This window comes from Homo sapiens, chromosome 11 (assembly GCF_000001405.40).
Source record: "Homo sapiens chromosome 11, GRCh38.p14 Primary Assembly".
NCBI lineage: Eukaryota > Metazoa > Chordata > Mammalia > Primates > Hominidae > Homo > Homo sapiens.
In genome coordinates this window covers 88503630-88524763 of record NC_000011.10, presented here as the reverse complement: position 1 = coordinate 88524763, position 21134 = coordinate 88503630, and the positions used below count along the sequence as shown (strand labels likewise).

Genomic DNA, 21134 nt, shown 5'->3' with positions numbered 1-21134 from the left:
CAAACTGAAATCAGGAAAGCTAATCCTCCTCTAGCTACCATAGCTTTGCATCTCCTTTGCTTCCTTGTGTTTGGTGATGAACATTCTCTGTCGCTGTGCTGTGCATGTTCTTTTATACTAGGCACTCCTGATTGAGTTGTACCTAGTAAACCGGAGTATTTGGAAGTATAAGCATTAACTAAGCTGTGTTGCATGAAATAAACGTGCTTTATTGCATGGGATTTGGTTTTAAGAAAAGGGCCCTGGGGCCGGGCGCATTGGCTCACGCCTGTAATCCCAACACTTTGGGAGGCCAAGGCGGGTGGATCAGCTGAGGTCAGGAGTTCAAGAACAGCCTAGCCAATGTGGTGAAACCCCGTCTCTACTAAAAACACAAAAATTAGCCGGGCATGGTGGCACACGCTTGTAATTCCAGCTACTCAGGAGACTGAGGCCAGAGGACTGCTTGAACCCAGGAGGCAGAGGTTGCAGTGAGTTGATAACATGCCATTGCACTCCAACCTGGGCAACGAGAGTGAAAACTGTCTCAAAAAAAAAAAAAAAAAAAAAGAAAGAAAGAAAGAAAGAAAGAAAAAGAAAAAAGAAAAGAAAAGGGCCCTGGAGACAAAGTCAAGATTGACATTAAACAGTTCCAGAATGTTGAAGGAGCCTTGAGTTGAGGAGTCACTTGCCATGACTTAACTCTTCACTTCTAATTTGTTGTGACATTTCTCAATCCATCTGTGGTGTAGAGGTATGGAAGGAAAACTTTTGCAAATCATCCTGGATTAGAGAAAAGGAAAAATTCAATAAGTAGAGTATGTGCATATGCATGTCCATGTGCTGAGAGCAGAGCTTGAGACCTAATTGCATAACAAGAAGATAATCCTGTTGAAATTTCACCACAAACATTTTGTTTGCTTCCTCAGTGGTGGGCTCCTTCCTATTTTCAAAATAATAACTACATTTTTCCAAGGCCCACCATATTGCACAACTGCTGGTGGACTATTCATATTGCAGTCTATGAAAATGGTGCCCAGAACTGTTCAGCATACAGTTTGAGCAATCATTCACAACAGTCCTGGCCAAGGGCTTGGCCAACTTTGTCTATGGTTCTCAGAGACAAGGCAATGATAGTGTGTGTACATGTGTAGGCATATATGTGTGTACTTTGGTGTATCTGATGGCCTTATGCCTACAATCCCTTTATACAGCTATCTTTGGATCTCAGTGCATCTGCAAAATGAGTCTCAGAGGATCATTTTGTGGAAGTGACTCAACAGAATGCTATTGGGGCTCCTATTTTCCTTCCACTTAGATATAACAAAGTAGCATAATTCATATCCTTGAAAATTAGGCAAACAGCACCAGAGTAAGCTGGACAAGGTTAAAGTGACTTCACCAAATGAGTGCTCAAGGGCTCTTCCCAGAGTGACTTCTAATTTGAGGTCTAAAACTGGAGTTCCCAAACCTGGCAAACTTAGCTGACTATCAAACAGACTGAGGCAAAATATTGGGCAATACAACTTAGGAATCTGTCATGTAACAAGTTTCCTAGGTCATCTCAAAGAAGCCAGTGCATGAACTGATATTTTAGAGTAATCCATTCATGTAGGAGATGACATGGAGCTGTTTGTGGCAAGCATTTGGTCTCAATTATGCAATTCGATGCTCTTAGCAGTGTTTAGTCAATACTTAGAGCTTTAGATCTGATCATCACAGAAATTAAATTTGCTCAAGGCTGTCTTAATTGAGAATGAGGGGAAAGGGACAGAGAGGGTAGTACACAGAGAGTAGGAGATCCCAGATAAACATACCAGGCTTCCTTGGGTCAGGTCCAGATCTACAAAGGTATTCACTTGATGTATCTCCAGCAAGAATGGTCTGAGTTTCTCTACAACCGCAAGATATCATTTAATTTTTGTTTCCTCACTTGTTTGGATATAGCCAAGATAATAGAAAGGCTTATTACACTGATATATCCTGGTGGAGGAGAGGGGAATAATGCATACTACTATAAATACAATTGTGTTAGATCATCCACCTCAGCCACACAGATAAGCAGAGTTAATTGGGAACAAATGATCTTCCCTTCCTAGTATCTCTTCCTTCTCATTTCTTTAGCACTATATAAAAACTGACACACACACACACACACACACACACACACACACACACACAGAGAGAGAGAGAGAGCGAGAGAGAGAGAGAGAGAAGAGAGACCTGCCATGCTTAAGCTTTCCCTTAGGGAGTAGAAAAGGCCTAGAGACATATGAAAAGAGAGGTCAAAATTCACAAGGTCTTGGTATCTTTTTTTCCAACTTCACATTTGTTCACATAAATACAGACACACATGCCTGCACACACATATTTATCCAGGAGAAATAAGTTTAAAATGAACATTAAGAGAAAGCTGTCAGAGAGGAGATAACTGTGATGGAAGCCGTTTCTAAGTAAGGGGTTGAAGTAGTTAATCCAAATTTGCTTACTCAGGAATGGAATAGAAGGGCTGAAGAAAGGTTAACTCTATGTATGTGAGACTTTTATAGGTACTTTTAGCGTCAACCAATAAGGCCTTTCTTTGTAATTCATCCCTACTCCACCCCCTATTGCTTCCAGGAGTCAAAGCCAAGCATCACATTTACTCTGCAAACATCTGGGACTCCTCTGTGGCCATTATTGAATAGCTAGTTCCAGGGAGGGGTTAAGGGGAGCTCAAACAACCACAGAAAACCGAGAGTGTCACTCTGCATCTCATTTGCCTGTTTTGTATAATGAAGCTGTAGAATGGACAGTACTCTATGAATTCATGCCTAGGATGATTATCCCAGAGCCAAGTTGCCTGGTGGGGAAAGAAAGCATTTCACAGTGTTTACAGTTGAAGCAGAGCAGAGCACTATTTTCTGATCTGTAACATTAGCAGGGCCTTAGACAGATGCTCCTTTACTTCTGCCTTCCTCCCTCAACCCTCATGCTGGGAAAGGAATGAGAATATAACATGTCCCCATAGCACACTAGCTTCCTGAAATATGTTGCTGTTTTCCCTTTATGTGAAGAGGCTTTTTTTTTAACCTCATGTCTGAATATAGTATAACTTGTCATCTTTTCATATTTTCACAGTGGACAGTCTAAGTGTGATTCAGAGCAGAATCCTCCTGATTGCAGGAGAAGTAAAAGAGAGTCCTAAACAGGGAGGTGGCTCTAAGAACTGAAATTCTCTAAACACTGTTACCATGTGAGTTGCTAGCAAGATGGTCCAGCCTCAGGAATGACTGAATGACTGAAACCTCAACACTGAATGTTATTATCTTCTGTGTCAGCAGGGGCATGGCATTGGAGTACTTGGAATCTGCTTGCTTGCTTTTTTCTCAGTCAGAGTCTGCAATGTCACCCAGGCTGGAGTGCAATGGTGCGATCTTGGCTCACTGCAACTTCTGCCTCCCAGGTTCAAGCGATTCTCCTGCCTCAGACTCCTGAGTAGCTGGGATTACAGATGCCCGCCACCACGCCCGGCTAATTTTTTGTATTTTTAGTAGAGACGGGGTTTCACTATGTTGGCCAGGCTAGTCTCGAACTCTTGACCTTGTGATCCACCCACCTAGGCCTCCCAAAAAGCTGGGATTACAGGCGTGAGCCACCACTCCTGGCTGGAATCTGCTTTCTGATGTGCTCATGATGTAGGCCACGAAGGAGAAACAAAGACATTCTGAGCCTCCTAGTCTCTCTTTGAGGAAGGGCTCCGTCAGTCAAATGAAATAGACAGCTCTCTAGTCCCCCTCCAGTGCCAGAAGGAAGGAGGGTGGGATGGGGTTATTTTTGAACAAAAAGAGAATTATTATTATTACTCTTTTGTGATATAAGCTATGCAAACTATTAACTTTCAATTAGTTGAGTAACTGATTTTCTCCTGTGATATGCAGCATCTAATTTTAGTAGGTACATATGTTTAATAAAGGCTTGGAGAATTTGGTAAGAGTCATGTCATAATAGTCCTTGTTAAATGAGTAGGACCTCAGATAGCCCCAAATACAATGTCTTGTGTTAGGATTGCCTTTCATTCATTCAATTATTTCTTCCTTCAGGTAAAGCTCATTTATTAAGCACCTATTATGAACCAAGGACTCAAAAGACTCTAGAGATAAATGGATGACCAAGATATGACTAATGCCCTTGAAAATCTGCAGTGTATTGAGAAACAGGCAGAAAAACAGATAACTGCAATGCAATATAAAACTCCTCTAACACAGGGGAGTTTATGCCTCAGATTAAGTGCCCATTTCTTACCACATGCTATAGTTTGTACCAGTACAAACAGAATTAAAAGTAATAGAATAACACATAATAACAGATGTAAACTGAGTATTCAGAAAGTGTAAGGCATGTAGTTATATAATTTAAACTCCATAGATAAGAGAAAGATTCTGCCTTTCCAGTACAGACAATAGAAGCCAGCTGGTTTTTGAGAATAGATTAGAATTTCTACAATAACCTTCACTTTATTTATCTCCAAAATCAATTCCATATTAATATTCTAACATATTCTAAAAAATAAGAAGAAGAAGAATTAGTAACATTGCTATGATTACCATGTATCCCACACTATACTAAGTCCCTTCATGGAGGTTCTGCATTAAGTTCTCCCAAGAACATATAAAGAAGGTATAATTTTTTTTCTTCCCATGCTACACACAGGAAAATGAGGATCAGGGAAATAAAATAACATACACAGTAGAGCAATCTCATGAAAAATCTAAAATCAAAGGAACTTCAATATCTGGTTCTGGCACTAGCCAGTGTGTGACCACGGAGTGTCATTTCAACTCTTTAATATCAATTTTCTATAAACGTCAGATTATATTATAGCACTTATCTTACTGTGATGCTGTGAAAAATAAATGGAATTATATAAGTACAGCACTTAGCATATTGCCTGACACACAATAGGCATTCAATAAATTTTAGCATGTGCTCTTACTATCCAAGGCCACCCAGTTTAGAAAGGTTGTTTTTTACGTATTTACTGTTTTGTCTTGTCTTTCTCTACCCTGCCACCATGGTTGTTTGCTCAAAAATCAATTCTGGAAAAGTAAGTAAAACAAAATCTAATGATAACAAAAGAATAAATTCAATGATATAATTTCCCTGTTTTAAAATTCATGTTCTCCCATGTTTACCTATAAAAGCAGCCAACATTTATTGAGTACTTAGATACATGAGACACTGTGTCAAATGCTTTATCTGCATGATTGCTCACTTAATCTTCCTTAAAAAATTGGTAAAGCCCATATTAGAGCCCAACTCAGTCTGATTCTGCAATTCACATACTATAATCACTATGTTATCAGCCACCCAGGAAAAAAATACGAACTCATGCACTCAGAATACAAGGTTCTTCATAAACTAACCCTAACCTAACTATTTGACCATCATTCCTTCTGCTTCTGTACATATGTTCTCCTTTCCAGACATCCCAGATATACAAGTCTCCAAACATGCTAACTATTTTCTACAACAGCACATCTTAAGACTTAAGACATGCTGTGTTTCTATCTGGATTATCCTTCATTTCTCTTTCTATCCATCTTCTTCCAGGGAGAAGGAACTCCCATTGCTGCTCCACCTAGCAAACCTACTCAGGTTTCAAAACCCAACTCTAATGTCCATTCCTCCTTGATGTGTCTAAAAGTCTTAGTCTAGCTAAACTCTGCCCAACTTCATAATTCTAATGTATTTTACCTTTACATCCGATATTGCATATTATCTAGTTGCCTGTGTCTTCTCATTAAACTTGAGGTTTTTAAGGCCACAAAACAAAAATGTATGGTTCACTTTTACGTCTTCAGTACTCAACAGTGTGAGAAGTCTATTGAGTCAATCAACCACTCAATAAAAGTGCCTGGATAATTTTTGTGTATGTAGGTAGCATTGTTTTAGGGACCATGGGGTGTTTGGGGAAGTATAAAATAATCTCCACCCTAAAGGAAATTACAATCTTAATAAAGAAATAAAACTCGCTCTGATGGAACCTGCAAGAGCAATAGTCTACATTAAAATTTTAAATCTGTGATACCAATAATAAGGCCAAGATTTGGATGGTGGTCAGGATTGGAGGGAAGCAGGGATGACAGTATGGCTAACAATAATGGAGCCAACATATATGCTCATATGCCCTTCTTGGAAATTCTCAGTGAATAGTTACATAAAAAATTGATAAATTCATCAGAAATTAGTTTAATTTGTTTAACTTATTTGACCCTGAAACCATTTATTTGACCCTGAAACCATTTATTCATGAACCATCTATTGTCATTCTTACTTTCTATACCATTTACCAATTAATTTTATAAAAAATTAATCAAAAAACATAGCATCAAAATTATGTATGATGAGTAGCTTATAGTAATCCTTGAAATCTTATTATAAGCATTTTTCCAGATAAGTCCTTATAAGACCAGCAAAAACCAAAAAGATTAACTAATGTTTGGTGACTGGAATTGAAATTTACTAGCTTTATTAAATACCACAAATATTAACCAGATTTCTAATTATCTTTTCTTATTTTTCTGAAAGAATTACTAACTACTCAGAGTATATTCTATTTTTATATTATTAAATTGAACATATTCTATTTTTTATATTATTAAATTGAACAGTCTCTTTTCTTAGCCTGTAAAAAATGTAATACAGAAATGTAACAGGAATACTTGAATTCTATGACTCTCTCATCTCAGTTTCTGCTCAATTCTCATCTTATCTAATACTCTTTTTACTGAAAAAAAGGAGGAGCTGGTCAAAGCCTTGTGTGAGGCTGCTGTTCTTGCCTGTGAAAAACATTTTGTAAATAGACATATATATGTACACACACATCTATATGCACACATTTATGTACAAATGTATAGTTTTTGTAGATAATTCAGTAGTTATATACAATATATATGCATATATTTTATCTGAAACAATAGATTTGCTAGCTTGTAATTTTCTGTAAAAAAGGAAAAAGGAAATCAAAATCATTTCTAATGGAAAATGCCAAGCCAAAATGGGAACCGCCTGACATGTAGTCATCAAGTCCAAACTTGTATGCTCTTGAGAGGGAAGTGAATTTTAAGGAATACTTTCTACTTTTAGTCTCACCTAAAGATATGGATAAAATTTGGGAATTGTGTCCAACTAATCTTATTGGCATATTCCCATTATGTATAATGGTAATATTGAAATGTAGACGAAAGTTACTCAGCAAAGCTGAGTGCTCTGAAAATTTAAATCAATCATTTTATCTAATCCCATGTTTAATGAGTTAGTTTGAACTGATTCTTCAACACAAATGTTATTTATTATTAATCATTTTTTAAAACTTTTTTTGCCACTGTGTCTCACATGCCTTCAAAGCACACTAAGCTTTTACACACACTGTCTTCCATTCTCCAAGAATCAGTAGCTTATCAAAAATCTTGGCTTTACCAAGATGTTTATACCTTAAGTATTTTCTACTTTTATGCACACAAGTTCTTTGAACCTCTCTAATCCTCAGTTTTGTAGTCAATTTAATAGCATGCATATGACAACACATATGCACAGATATTTTTAAAGATTAAAAGAATGTAAATGAGGGGATCAGAAACGTGTGTGTGTGTGTGTGTGTGTGTGTGTGTGTGTACAGAAGCCAATATATTACAATTGTAAGAAAAAAGTAAACATTAATCAGGAATAGCTGTATGTTTGTGTAACCAATTAATTGGGTACACAATTAATCTAGAAATATTAAGGAAATATCTTAATCTGGAAATATTAACAAAATATCTTAATCTGGAAATATTAAGGAAATATCTTAATTAACCTACCCAATTAATTTTTAAGGGTCCAGAGAAAGGAAAGATTTCTATTGTCTTTGAGGAAGCAACAAGATTGACATTAAGCAAAATAATGGTGTCCATGGTAGATTTAAATTTGTTTTAATAGTACAAAGATACAGTGCTCAGCATCCCAAGAATTCCACAGGAAATGGGACTAGAACTGACAGATATAAGGCATATGCCCATTTTATCCAATTAAAAAAAAAAACCAGGATAATCAAGAAACTTCCTTCTTAAACCAAGAGACTTCACTGACAATAAACATATTGGTGGTGAATCTGCACCCAGGATTCAAGCCTCATAACTAACATCCCCTTCGTACATCAGATTTAAGTCACAAGCTTCAGCTGAGGTGCTGTAAGACAGAAAGGAGTCTTTTGCCTAAACAGGAATTATTTTCCCAGCAACCATTCTAAACATCCTGGGACAACTTTTATCTTACAGTCCCTCAGGATTTATCTCAGCAATGTTGATGCAGAGCTTTAGAATTTATCAGGTTATTTTATGGGCAAAACCTGGGGCACTGCCATCTTGGATGCTCCACAGGGGTATGTCTTGTTAGCCCCTTGGTTCCTGTGTGTATCTTGGCACTCAGTACACAGACAATGGGAATGACTCTGGATTTAGCATCAGATTTGGGGCACTGTCCTGCCATTTACTTTGACTTGGTCGACTTAGTTAAGTTCCATAAGCCTCATTTCTCATATCTATAGTGAAGGTTAATAATACCTGTCAATATCAAACATTCAAGATCATATAGTTCACTTTATTTCACTAACACTCCTCTGCACTACTCTGCACCAGACACCATATTAAGCACAGGAGATACATGTAGCATCTGCCCTTGCAATGCTCTAGGTTTAGTGCAGGAACAGACTTGTAAATAAGTAATTAAAAAACTATCTGATAAATCCTATCCTAGACAGCTGTTATGAAGGTAAAATATGATGCCATAGGTGAAAACACCTTGTGAGCTGAAAAGTTCTATTAAAATGGAAACTATTACCATTCCAGGATTCTCCTCTTCTTTGCCACCAATCCCAATTCCATGTTTTATTCAAGGTTTAAATCAAGCTGAATTCCTCCACAAAGTCTTCCTGACTGCAGCAGCTTCTAGACACAAAACAGCTATGTCTGGCTTTGTTCTCTATTTACTAAATTATAATTGAGCTTTATAGTAATTGCTGGTAAAAATCATTTCCTGTTTTGAAAAAGAAGTACAAAAATCTAAAATTCTTGCTAATCGCTGTTAAAACATCTCAGCTAAGACCTAGAACTTAAATGTCAGGATGAAGAGTAGTTTAGTGAGATTTTTTTAAATTTATTTTTAGTTGACACTTAATAATTGTACACATTTATAGGATACGGAATGCTTCCTTACATGTATACCAAGTGTAATGACAAAATCAGGGTAATTAGCATAGCGATGACCACAAACATTTATCATTTCTTTGTGTTGTGAACATTCAAAATCCTTTATTCTAGCTTCTTGAAACTATACAACAAATTATAGTTAACTATATTCACCCTACAATGCTGCAGAACACCAGAGCTCATTCCTTGTACCTAGCTGTAATTTTGTATCACTTTACCAACTAATACCAGTTAGAGTAGTTTAGTTTTGAAGCTGAGTCCAGGTAACAGAATTGTGGATCAAAATAAATAGTTTGATTTGAGAAGGAAATATCTGTGATGACTCAACACAATTCCAATGCTTGGCATATGCTCCCGTGTCATATTCTCCTTTGTTAAGGTGCTTGCTCCTTATGAGGACTCAGGGGAAGTAGCGACTGTACTAGTACCATTAAGCACTTTAATAACCCACCGTGAATGAACATGTAGCTTCTGAAAAGGCTTCCTGTTGCTGTTAAACCAAAGACTAGTTAAGAGAGGATCGAGTGATTCTCCTCCCACCAGGAATTTATTAGGGATTAAATGCCTGGTAAGAAAGATTCTCTGGGGGAATTATTGTGGAAACATGTAACCACTGCTACTTAAGAGAGAGGTGAAAATCCACGTCACTTAGGGCTGTTGGAGGAGTTGGGATTAGACATGTAGAATTAGTTTCCTTTCCATATATGCAATACATGTATTAATTGAGATTTGCTTATCCATGCTATTTTAACATCCCCAAGCTTTAAGGCCTCGTTAATATCCACTTTATTTGCAAATCCTTCCTTGAAACTTCTTTCCTCAGTGAACAACTTTTTCTCTGAATTTTTCTAATCCTGATAAGAAAAACCCAAAGTCTTTTTTTTTCCACAGTAGTTTTCATGTCAGTACATTCCTTTCCATCCTCATTTTTGTCACACTTGTGAATACCTTAACACTGTATTCCTGTATTGAATTATAAATTCCATTGACTTTTTTGATGGTCAAACTTTTTTTTCCTCTATTAATGTTTGCTTCCTAATGATGGTGTACCATGGCAGAATACTCTAATATCTGCAGGTTTGAGCAGAGGAATAGAGAAACTGGGTGAGGTCATTGACATGACATTCAGACCCTGCTTGAAAATGAATAAATTTGCTAAGTTTCTGATATGGAAGGGAAAAACAGGAAAAATAAACCTCTGAGAATAAAGATAGAAAGTGTCATTTTGGCAGACCCAAAATGTAAACAAAAACTAATGAAACAAATAAACAAAAAACTTAATCCTCAAATAACATTATTGATATGCTGCTTTTTGTTTTTCAGAAATAAAGAGCAAATAATTATAACAGAGAGAACATTAGATGGCATCATATTATATTTTGCAAAAGGGTTAAATGGTGCCTGGAAGAGAGCAAGACGTTACTTTTGGCCCCCTCCTCAGATGTGGCAGATCATTTCATCTTGTCCCTTTCTCCTTCATTCTTCTTTCCCTCTCCTTTTCTAATGTCCAAAATATTCAGTGAGGGAAGGTGACGTGCCATAGATGGGTAAAGAAAAGTTCCCTTTCATTTTTCTTACTTCAGCCCCCAAGGACAAACATATAACATGGATGCTGAAAAAAAAATCTCAGCCTAAATAATAAATACAACATCTTAGCTCAACTGAATAGAAGGTTTAATGTTAATGAATAACCCCTTGCATTTGCAGAAGGGCTATGCTCTATAAAGTACCCTCATATGTATTATCCTTTTGTTTTTTCCCAGACATCATGCAAGGTGGGCAAGGGAGGTTTATTTCTTTTCTTTTCTTTTCTTTTTTTCCAATAAAGAAAGAAGCTCAAAGGTGGCAAGTGATTTGCTCAACATCATTCTGAGTCAGATCCTGGACTGAGAATCTGGGTCCTTTCTTTCCACTATCACTACTGCCTCGATGAGATTTCACCACTGAGCAATTTTACTAAGACAGATATGAGTTATAAAGAAGGAATTATTTTGTGATTTTCATGGCAGATATCAAGCTTTGTATTTTCATATTTAATGAAATTTTTTAAATATGTAGACATTGAGTACTATTGATTAAAGGGAGGTATATAAGAAGTAAAAGTAGATCCATAAGGCAAAATAGAGTTTCATTAACACTGAATTATTTTAAAAACTTAATTCTAACAGGAAAACAATTCAGTATAAATTTTAAAAATAAACTGCATTTTATCTACTCAATCATTGGCCCAAAAATATTACTGAGCACTACCATGTTCTAAACAATGCATGGGTACTACTGGGCATATAGGAAAGAGCAAACCCTCCATCTGTGCCTTCATAATGTCCCATCAAGCAGGTGAGATAGACATATAGCAAAGAGTTATGATATGCCTGAATGCAGGTGCCATAGGAATCTAGCCTAGCAGGGTCAGGAAAGCTTTCTTTAAGACAAGACAATTAAGGTAAAATAAAATAAGAAAAAAAGAGGATACAGTTAAGCAAAAAGGAAGAGAGGATGTAGCACAATGAGAAAGCATTTGAGGAAAAAGGTTAATTTGGAATTTAATGGGGTAGAGGTGATCACCCAAGGAGATAGTTTAGGGTGTGAAGAGGCCACGGATCATGGAACTCCAGGTCAGGTAAAAGAGAAAGAACCTGAAAGGTTTTATGGCTTACCAAATATTTTACTTTGCACTGAATTCTCTGTTCCTTAAACCAGGGTTCAAAATGGCATTGAGTATACTTTTTATTTTCTGAAATGCTGTATTCACATAAAATATAAAAACTGAACATCCTTAGACACCTTCTCTTTACCAGCTCTTTTCACCTACATTGTCTCATGTAATCTCAAAACAACCTTAACCAAATGAGACACTGTCTGCTTCTTACCGAGGCTTAAAAAGATTATTCTTTTCCAAGTATCTGGGATGGCAGATCCAGAATAAGAACCGGATTTTAGGATCTCTATTCTATTGCACCTTCCATGACACCCCACAGTGGCCCTGTTAACTTAAAAATCCTATTCATCCATCAAATGCTTATTAAGATCATGCTGAGTGTCACTGAAAAAGATAGATAAGATCTGTGTCTTCATAGAATGTACTTTCTACTAATAAACAGAATAATGTCGTGAGTAGGGAGTTTCTTTTGTTTTTTTTCTTAAGAGTTCTCATTTACTTCAGGGAAAAAAAAGCTTTCATGTTCAAAAGAATGAAATGAAGTACTCACATTTGGACTCCATTTCTCTGGGTGTCTGGTGTTTCCTGTGTCCACTTTCACGTTATTCAGATGGTCTGGTGCTCTTTCTCCCTTATGGCCATGGGCACTGTAACCAAAGGCACAGCCAGGAAAAAGATGTCAATACTTTGTACAGAATTGGTTGATTAGGATGGTTTCCTCATCACACACTCACCTAGAGGTTTTGCAACATGCTATCATGTTTTGGGGCATGGCTACAGGTGATTCCAAAGACTGTTACTGCTAACATCCAAAGTTATGTTCCATCATGTTCAACTAAAGGCATTCGAGAGAGAGAGAGAGAAACTTTTTAAAAGCTAGTGTTTGCAAAACCTCTCTGTACTAGGAGCAAGAGTGTCCCTAAGGTAAAAGTTGGTGGAATAAATCCAATTAGTCTCCTGATTTCAAGTCCATGCTTTGTATTAAAAGGGGACTTAGTGACCTGAAATAATACTTGTACCTTTCGAAACACCTGTTTCTTATCCTTCTGATAGGAGAAAGGGTGTAGTTGGCAACCATCCTCCCAATCAAATCTCGTAAATAAACTGGCCCATTTCTTCTCTGCCATGTTCCAGAAGCTAGTGGACACCTGGGAAAAAGAATTGTAATACACGTAAGTCAGGCTAATGCAAAATTGAAAAATAAATCCTGAAACTACTAGAAAGGAACACCAACTGTTTGGCAGTGCCCCCTCTGCTACTATGGATGCACAGCAACCTCCAAACCTGAAAATGGTTCATTCATCCTTTCCAGGAAGGGCAGAGTGGGGTGGAAGAAGCTCATATTCCAGGATTCTGAAGGACATGAGACTACAATATATTGGGTAGATTACATGGAAAGAAATTTCACAGGAAAGAGCGGAGAAAGAAAGACCATGAAGTAGAAAGGAACAGATAAAGAAATGGGAAGCAGTGTGGAAAGAGGCAAAAAGCATGTCATTAAAGGGGATGCAGAAATGGCAGTCTGTTACCAAGGGAGTGGGTTTCTCAGACAGAGTGGATCCTGCAGGGCCAGTCAGGCAGCCTCAAGGCTGGTGGATTCCAAATGAGGTACACGCCCCAGCCCCTCAAAGGCAAGCCAGCCCTCCAGCAAGGGGGCCCAAGGGGAGTGATGGGGATTTAGAAGAAAAGGATGGCTTTCTGCCAGAGTTTCTCAGATTGTGAAAGAATCTGAGAAACAAAGTGCTTCAGATTTACTTTGGGAGCAGAAGAACAGAATGCTTGTCAAAAGCATAGATCCTTGGAAGCCAATCCAGACAATCAGACTCTCCTGGGGTCACATCTTATATCTTTGACAAATGCCCTAGATGAGTCTTACACAGAATTTAGTTTAATAACCATAGGCTGTGATGATAAAACTGTAGTCTTCAACTTCTTTTGTAGTCAGGCTGCTCAAGGCTATCTGTTGGTCACAGCCCCTAGAACAGAGCTGTCTTGACTGAAAATAACAGACCCCCTAGTAACAGAGATCTTGGATTACTTTGTGATGGGAAACTACACCAGAATCTCTTCATATAACATTCCTGGCCAGACGCAGTGGCTCACGCCTGTAATCCCAACACTTTAGGAGGCTGAGGCAGGTTGATCACTTGAGGTCAGCAGTTCTAGAACAGTCTTACCAACATGGTGAAACCCCGTATCTACTAAAAATACAAAATTAGCTGGGCGTGGTGGCGCATGCCTACAATCCCAGCTTCTCAGGAAGCTGAGGCAGGAGATTCGCTTGAATCCCAGAGGCCGAGGGTGCAGTGAGCTGAGATGGCGCCACTGCACTTCAGCCTGGGCAACAAGAGCAAAACTCCGTCTAAAAAACAAAAAATAAAAAAAAAATCTTGAGTGTCAGGCCACATTCTCTGACCTTTGTAAAGTTTCTGAAAGAACGTCTGCAGCTTCAGAAGCTATTGTGTCAGCTTTTAGTGGTAAGGAGAGGTACTAGGGCGCTGAGGCTGAGGCACCAATCACATCTTGAGAGTGGCTTTCAGACCCCATGGTGGAAGTGCAAAGGAGAAAGAGAGAGAAAGGCCTTCAAAAAACTTGTCAGTCCCTCAATATTCACCAGGATCCTAATTTGAGATCACTCTGCTAAGTGCCGAAGGCATTATACAGCACTCTCACTCATTGAACTGTTATTCAAGTACAGAACTCAAAATACATTTGTGAGGTGAATTTCTGTGAAGTAAAGAAGCTCTCATTAGAAATGTGTGTTCATTAAATTTTTATTTTCCAGCAGGTAAGGCAGCCTAAGTAACACTATGTTCAAAATCAGGGGTTCAGACAGAAAACCCTAGTTATATATATACCAACTTCCAGAATAAAGGCGGAACTGGAACCACTGACTACCTCCTGGTAATCCCTGACTCTCTTACCCCTTCCCTCCTCTCTGATGATTGTTGGTGAGTTTGGGTCCTAGTGGTAATGTTTTCCTTCAGAGGCCACTAACTCTAGGAAGCCCCTGTCCTGTACCAGGCACTTGTGCACACAGCCGGGACACTGCAAGCCCTTGCATCTGTGTGCTGCTGCACTCACAGGTGGGCTCAGAACTCCCGCAGAATCCTAATAAACACTCCTTCATCCTGACAAGCATCCCCTTTGACACATTTTCACGATTATGATAAACTGAAGCCCTGATATAGAAAGCAGTCTTTAACTCAAAACAAGCAAAGGAAAGCCACTTCCAAGGTCTCTTTCCATGATGTCCTTTTGATGCTGTGTTTCCTGAAAGAATGAGAAAAGTCCTCCCCAGTCCGGGGCCCATGAGCAACCACCATTGGGGAAGCGGCATCCAAGCCCCCTGGGCACCTCGCTGAGTCACCTTTCCTCTCCCTTCTCTCCTCAGTTCCAATGGAAAATCCGTCACGTGGGCCCAGAATGAGAAGAGCAGCCGGGGGCAGCACCTGTGGCAGCGCCTGTCCATCCACATCAACAAGAAAGAAAACCCCAACCAAACGGCCGTCATCAAGCCCTTCCCCAAGAGCACGGAGAGCCGTGGCCTGGGCGCTGGCGCTGGCGCAGGCGGGAGCGCTGGGGGCGTGGGGGCCACGGGCGGTGCGGGCTGCGCAGGCGCCGGCCCAGGCGGGCCCGAGTCCCCAGACGCCGGCCCCAAGGCGCTGTATGATGTGGCCGAGGCTGAGGAGCACTTCCCGGCGCCCGCGCGGCCGCGCTCACCGTCGCCCATCAGCACGCTGAGCCACCGCGCGGGCTCGGCCAGCCGCACGGACGACGATGTGCCGTCGCTGCACTCGGAGCCTGTGGCGCGCAGCAGCTCCTCGCAGGGCTCCCTCATGGAGCAGATCAGCAGTGTGGTCACCCGCTTCACGGCCAACATCAGCGAGCTCAACTCCATGATGCTGTCCACCGCGGCCCCCAGCCCCGGCGTCGGCGCCCCGCTCTGCTCGTCCTACCTGATCCCCAAAGAGATCCAGTTGCCCACGACCATGACGACCTTTGCCGAAATCCAGCCTCTGCCGGCCATCGAAGTCACGGGAGGCGCGCAGCCCGCGGCAGGGGCGCAGGCGGCTGGGGACGCGGCCCGGGAGAGCCCCGCGGCCGGTCCCGAGGCTGCGGCCGCCAAGCCAGACCTGGAGGAGCTGGTGGCTCTCACCCCGCCGTCCCCCTTCAGAGACTCGGTGGACTCGGGGAGCACAACCCCCAACTCGCCAGTGTCCGAGTCGGCCCTCTGTATCCCGTCGTCTCCCAAATATGACACTCTTATCATAAGAGATTACACTCAGAGCTCCTCGTCGTTGTGAATGTCCCTGGAAAGCACGCCGGCCTGCGCGTGCGGAGCGGAGCCCCCCGTGTTCACACACACACAATGGCAAGCATAGTCGCCTGGTTACGGCCCAGGGGGAAGATGCCAAGGGCACCCCTTAATGGAAACACGAGATCAGTAGTGCTATCTCATGACAACCGACGAAGAAACCGACGACAAATCTTTTGGCAGATTTTCTTCTAGTGGCCTTAGAAAACATGGGCTTTTAAGAAACACGGCTGATATCTTTGAGGGCTGACAAGGCGTCTCTTCAAACAGTTCCATACCAAGTGCTTTGCTCTAGGGAAGCAGTGCGTGTGAAACAGCGTAACGGAGGGTGAAGAGCATAGTTAATAAGCAACTGTAAAAAGTTTTATTTGTTTACTTTAATTCTTTTCCCAGAAGAGTCTTTGATTCACCAAACATGAATGTACATTTTCTAACAAACTCAAAATCTGGGACCAAAACATCAACTTTTTTCTTTCTTTTTTCTTTCTTTTTGTTTTTTCTTTCCTGTAAAGACCTTGAAAAGCAGTAACTTGGGTCCAGTATTTACGGAGGCGTTGTGAATGTGTCCCATGCATAACACACTACTGGATAGTGAGTGCTGCGCTAATGTACTACGTAGGGCTTCTACCAGAGATTTTCCTCTCCAATTGGGTTGTGAAATACTCTTCCAAAAGCCTGCATCGGGGATTCCACCTACTTATTTCAGATTCACCTCCATTAACCAAGAAAACCAGTGGAAGATTTCTTGACTATTTCACCATGTTGCCAATCAATACTGGAGTAGCAAAAAAAATATTTTCTGGAATACTGTTTTGTAATTCCCTCACTGGGGTGCATTGTAGCTGGAAATTCTCTTTATAAAAATCATTCTTGAGCTCCAGCCTGGCTATCTCTTTCAAGAAACATGGCCACTCTTTAGGAATGCTGTTGCGTTTGCATTGCCAACTAAAATATTAAAATATGCATTGGGGCTTCTTCATTCCTTTATTTTGAGAACCTGATGCACAAAGAGCTCCTTTGTTCTTTTCGAGTCCCACCACTGGAAGAGTGGTCCATAGACCCCATGAAGACATTGTCATGATTTGAGAGACTGTTGTTGAAAGGATTAACACAATCTTAATACACTGAAAATTTTAACTGTGTCAAGTCAGCTTAGTGGAGATTTAGCTATGCCAGTGAGCAGTGATTTTAACTATTCTTGGCTGCTTAAACAGGGCAGCTATGAACTATGACAAATGTAGATTTTTCAAAGCAATACAAAATACTAAAAAAGAGGAACCTTAATGAATATTAACCACACAGTCTTTCTTAGCCATTCCAAAAAGAGGCAAAGCAATTCTTATTTTCTTTTTTAAAATAATGATTAATATGATTTTGTGCACTTCATACTGTCACTTTTTAAAACTACAGAAAAGAGATTTAGAGTATAACAGAAACAAGTGTGCTTTGATAGTCTCAAATAGGTAGAATTCATAGTTCAAGACCTGAATCCACTGTCATCTCTTTCTTCCTCCCATTGCAGCTATCCTCAGGTACCAAATGTTTTGATTTTTAAATAAGGATAGTAATAAATGGAGGAGGTGTCCTATAAATTTAAAGTTCAGTTGACCCAGCCTTATACTTAAGATAGCCTTATGAAAAATATGTGCTGTGAGGCAGAAGTATATTTTGGCAGAGAGAATAATAAATAAAACTTTTTCTTTTAGCTCAATATCCTTACTTTGGTAAGTATTTTTTTTTATTTCACATCTACTTAACAGAAAATAAACTGAGAAATAGAAGTCAGTCCATTGGCATAATTTATCATTCTTCACTTTAAAAAATTCTAATAAATATTCTGCTTGAGTTTTCTTTTCTGCTATTTGTTCTTACTTGCAACTTTAAGTCAAACCTCCCAATACAAAACATTAAAAGCTAACATTAATGTACTAAAGTATTAATTTAAAAGAAATCGAACCTCCCATGCTAGATTTGAAAATAACATCATCACAGCACCCTGATCCCAAATATTACACCGAGGCTTTTAAAATGTAAGTGAAATCTAGCTAAGTTTCATGGTTTCATTAAAAGCAAATGTCTGCCTCTATCTGAAAAACAAATGGAAATCTTTTGAGGTGTTAATACCCTTTGGATCCTCATCAAAAGGATGGCATTCACCTGAGGATTCCTATCTTGACTTCTTAGGTATTAAAAACCTTTCTTGATATGCTCTACATTTTAAAATTTGTTTTATAAAATCCTTATGTTGATTTTCATTTTATTCTCAAGTACAATACGTTTCACTCTAGACCAGTTGAAGAACATGTTTAAACTTTGTTCATGGTCAAATTCATTTTCTATTTTTTTAGTAACATATCTCTTAAAAAGCACACTACCTTATAAAAAACTTCATCAGAAATTAAATTTAATGCAAGTAAATTGCCATCTGATACTTCCACATGCTATCATAATCAACTGTAATAATAAAAATGATTTATCCAATTAGAAAAGGACAAGATATATTTTTCTCTGTATTTCTATAACTTTTGCCACTCCATTGAATACATTGTATGTTGGACATAAGATTATTAGTAATGCATTCTTGAGATCTTTTATTTTGGAATGATGCTAACTCTGTCTCTTTGCCAATTCTAATACCAGGTTCCAAGTAATAACTCTACAGTACAAAGAGAACTGAATATTCATTCTAGGGCTATAGGATATGAACTTCACAATTCATTTGGGTACATTCTCATTGAATTTCCTTCAAAACAATCTGTTCCTGGTGCCCAGTGATAATTCAGTCGGGACCAGCATGACTAAAAGGAAGGGGATATGCTAAGGCTCAGCAAAGTGACCCTAAATGAGAGATATGTCCCAGGATGGAAAGAAGAAGACGTGGTTTAACCAAGTTATACTGACTAATCTAAGCAGTCCACTCATCCTTCCATTTTGGGAAAGGAGTGGGGGCAGCCTAAGAAGAACATATCTGGATTGGGAAGAACCGTCTTTCTGGGCTAGGGATGGGGAACAGAAAGGGAGTATGGAAAGAAAAATTATAAGAGATTTGACTGAAGCAAGGAAAAAAAGCAAATCCCCAAACGTGCTAATCCTTGAAAGTAACTATCTTTCCCAAACTACTGCTGTTACCAGCAAGTGATCAGGAAGACTAGGAGCTATTTCTGACTGTAAATGAATTGTATAATAGCTCTGCTGCAGTTCTGTGACTTCCAAGCCAGGAATTAAATGCTCTTTTTAAGAATAACAAAAAACAAAAGCATTTCCTATGCTAGTCTCCCAGTAAAATGTACATGTTTTGGAGACTTCAAAGGTATTATGTGAGTTCACATTTAGCAACAGCTTATTAATAACCCTCAAGCTGTCAGAATCTCTATAGTTACCATTTACAATTTTATACTGTGAAAAAATACAGATCAGTGAAAGCATAAAGACAAGTCAGAATTCACTTTGAAGAGGGTCTGAGGCCTGGGAGAGTCTCTACTGTCTATTGAAGAATGAGGCATGTATAAAATAGTTGGTTGAATTTCACTGATCTTCCCAATGTGAACAAATATACTATGTATATTGTGTGTATTTCTAGAAATCAATGGCAGCTGCTGATGGTGTTGTAATTAGAAATCTATATAGATTATAGATGTTTTAGAAAGATGGTGCCAATCCTAAAAGATTTGTGTGGGCTAAAAGTGCTTGTACTTACTTTTTTCTGCACTTATAACTGATTTGGTTTTAAAATTGTGTGCGTGTATCTGTTCTTTCTCTGTTGTGGCAGCTTGTACTATTAAAATAATAGAGAATGTTAAATTATTTTGATGTGAACTGCAAATGATTTTTTTTCATAAAGTTTAACATTTTTATCAGCATTGTTTTGCTTTGTACTTGTATAAATATGTTTTATTTTAGCACTTCAAAATATACTTGCCTGTTTCTCAGTTGTCTAAATCATGTTGTACTTGGTGTTTGTGAAGCCAGTTACTTTTCAAAAAAATTAAAAAACCTATAATATGATTTTAAGATTATTCCCCTCAAATGTTTAGAATGTTGTCTTAATAGTGTTTTCTGAGATGAAAAGAGCCATGATACTAATTAATCTTGAATACTGGATGATCTATACATTTGAATTATGGGGTTTACAAAGTAAGCAGTGGACTGTATAGATTTAAATGAAAATATAAACCAACCACAAACCAACCAGAGATGTTGTCCCCAAACACATCTACAAACAACTGTTACATAAAGAAGTACTTAAAAAAATATATAGGAAATATGCATTGTTTATGCATCTAGACATACAAATTATAGAAATAGTTTCATAATTATATGTGTTGATAGAGGTAACATCACACAGATAAAATAGATTATTTGTGTGTGTATAGATGTGTGTTTACAAACATACATATTTATATAGACATTTGACTTTTGAGTCCATCTGCATGTGTCTCTGTGTATATGTGTGTTTGTGTGTAGATGTATGTGCATATTACATAATTTTTCCAGAAAAAAAAAAAGTTTTACTTTGACTGATTCTTGAGCAAATATACATTCCCTGGACACAAATTAGTGAAAAACTAACAGCAGAATATAAGGTAGATGCTTGATGTATGGAAGAGAAAAACAAGGTATATTTAAAAATATATTTGATTTATGCTTCTGACATTGTATTAAATGCATAATGATATATATACATATGTAGATACATATATTATACAGAATGTGTTTGATCTTAACAAAGAAAGCCATTTTATCTGTTTTGTCAGACTCTTCCCTTCAGTATCTTTTATTCTAACGTGATATGAATGGTAATATGTTCACATAAAATTGAGGATGAAGTGACATATACAAACCAGGTACAGGAAATTACCTTCTAAAAATCCAAAGAGCCTTATCAGACTCCATCAAATTATGGAAGGCCATTTAAAACCAGCGGATGCAATAGAAATAGCATTGAATTAAA

At 38.6% G+C, this 21134-nt stretch overlaps 1 protein-coding gene and 1 long non-coding RNA gene across 5 annotated transcripts in view, besides 1 other annotated feature; one reads left to right on the top strand and one right to left on the bottom strand.

Annotated features, from left to right (window-relative positions):
- The window catches only part of GRM5 (glutamate metabotropic receptor 5), a 561341-nt gene extending 541219 nt beyond the window's left edge, over positions 1–20122 (top strand). For all 4 annotated transcript variants that reach the window (NM_001384268.1, NM_001143831.3, NM_000842.5 and 1 more), the window contains one exon: positions 15260–20122. In NM_001384268.1, the coding sequence (NP_001371197.1) occupies positions 15260–16172 (913 nt within the window). In that variant the 3' untranslated portion in view covers positions 16173–20122. The remainder of the gene's footprint in view (positions 1–15259) is intronic.
- GRM5-AS1 (GRM5 antisense RNA 1) lies at positions 710–20188 on the bottom strand. The gene is made up of 6 exons (NR_049724.1): positions 15825–20188; positions 12885–13013; positions 12600–12700; positions 12416–12512; positions 1797–1873; positions 710–762 (listed from the first exon to the last, which is right to left on the bottom strand). It is a non-coding gene; the product is annotated as a GRM5 antisense RNA 1 (long non-coding RNA).
- Positions 15402–15511: a silencer, noted in NCBI's record as "silent region_3833". NCBI's record gives its function as "represses an Ori minimal core promoter by ATAC-STARR-seq in GM12878 lymphoblastoid cells {active_cell/tissue: GM12878}" and the evidence as "EXISTENCE:reporter gene assay evidence [ECO:0000049][PMID:35858748]".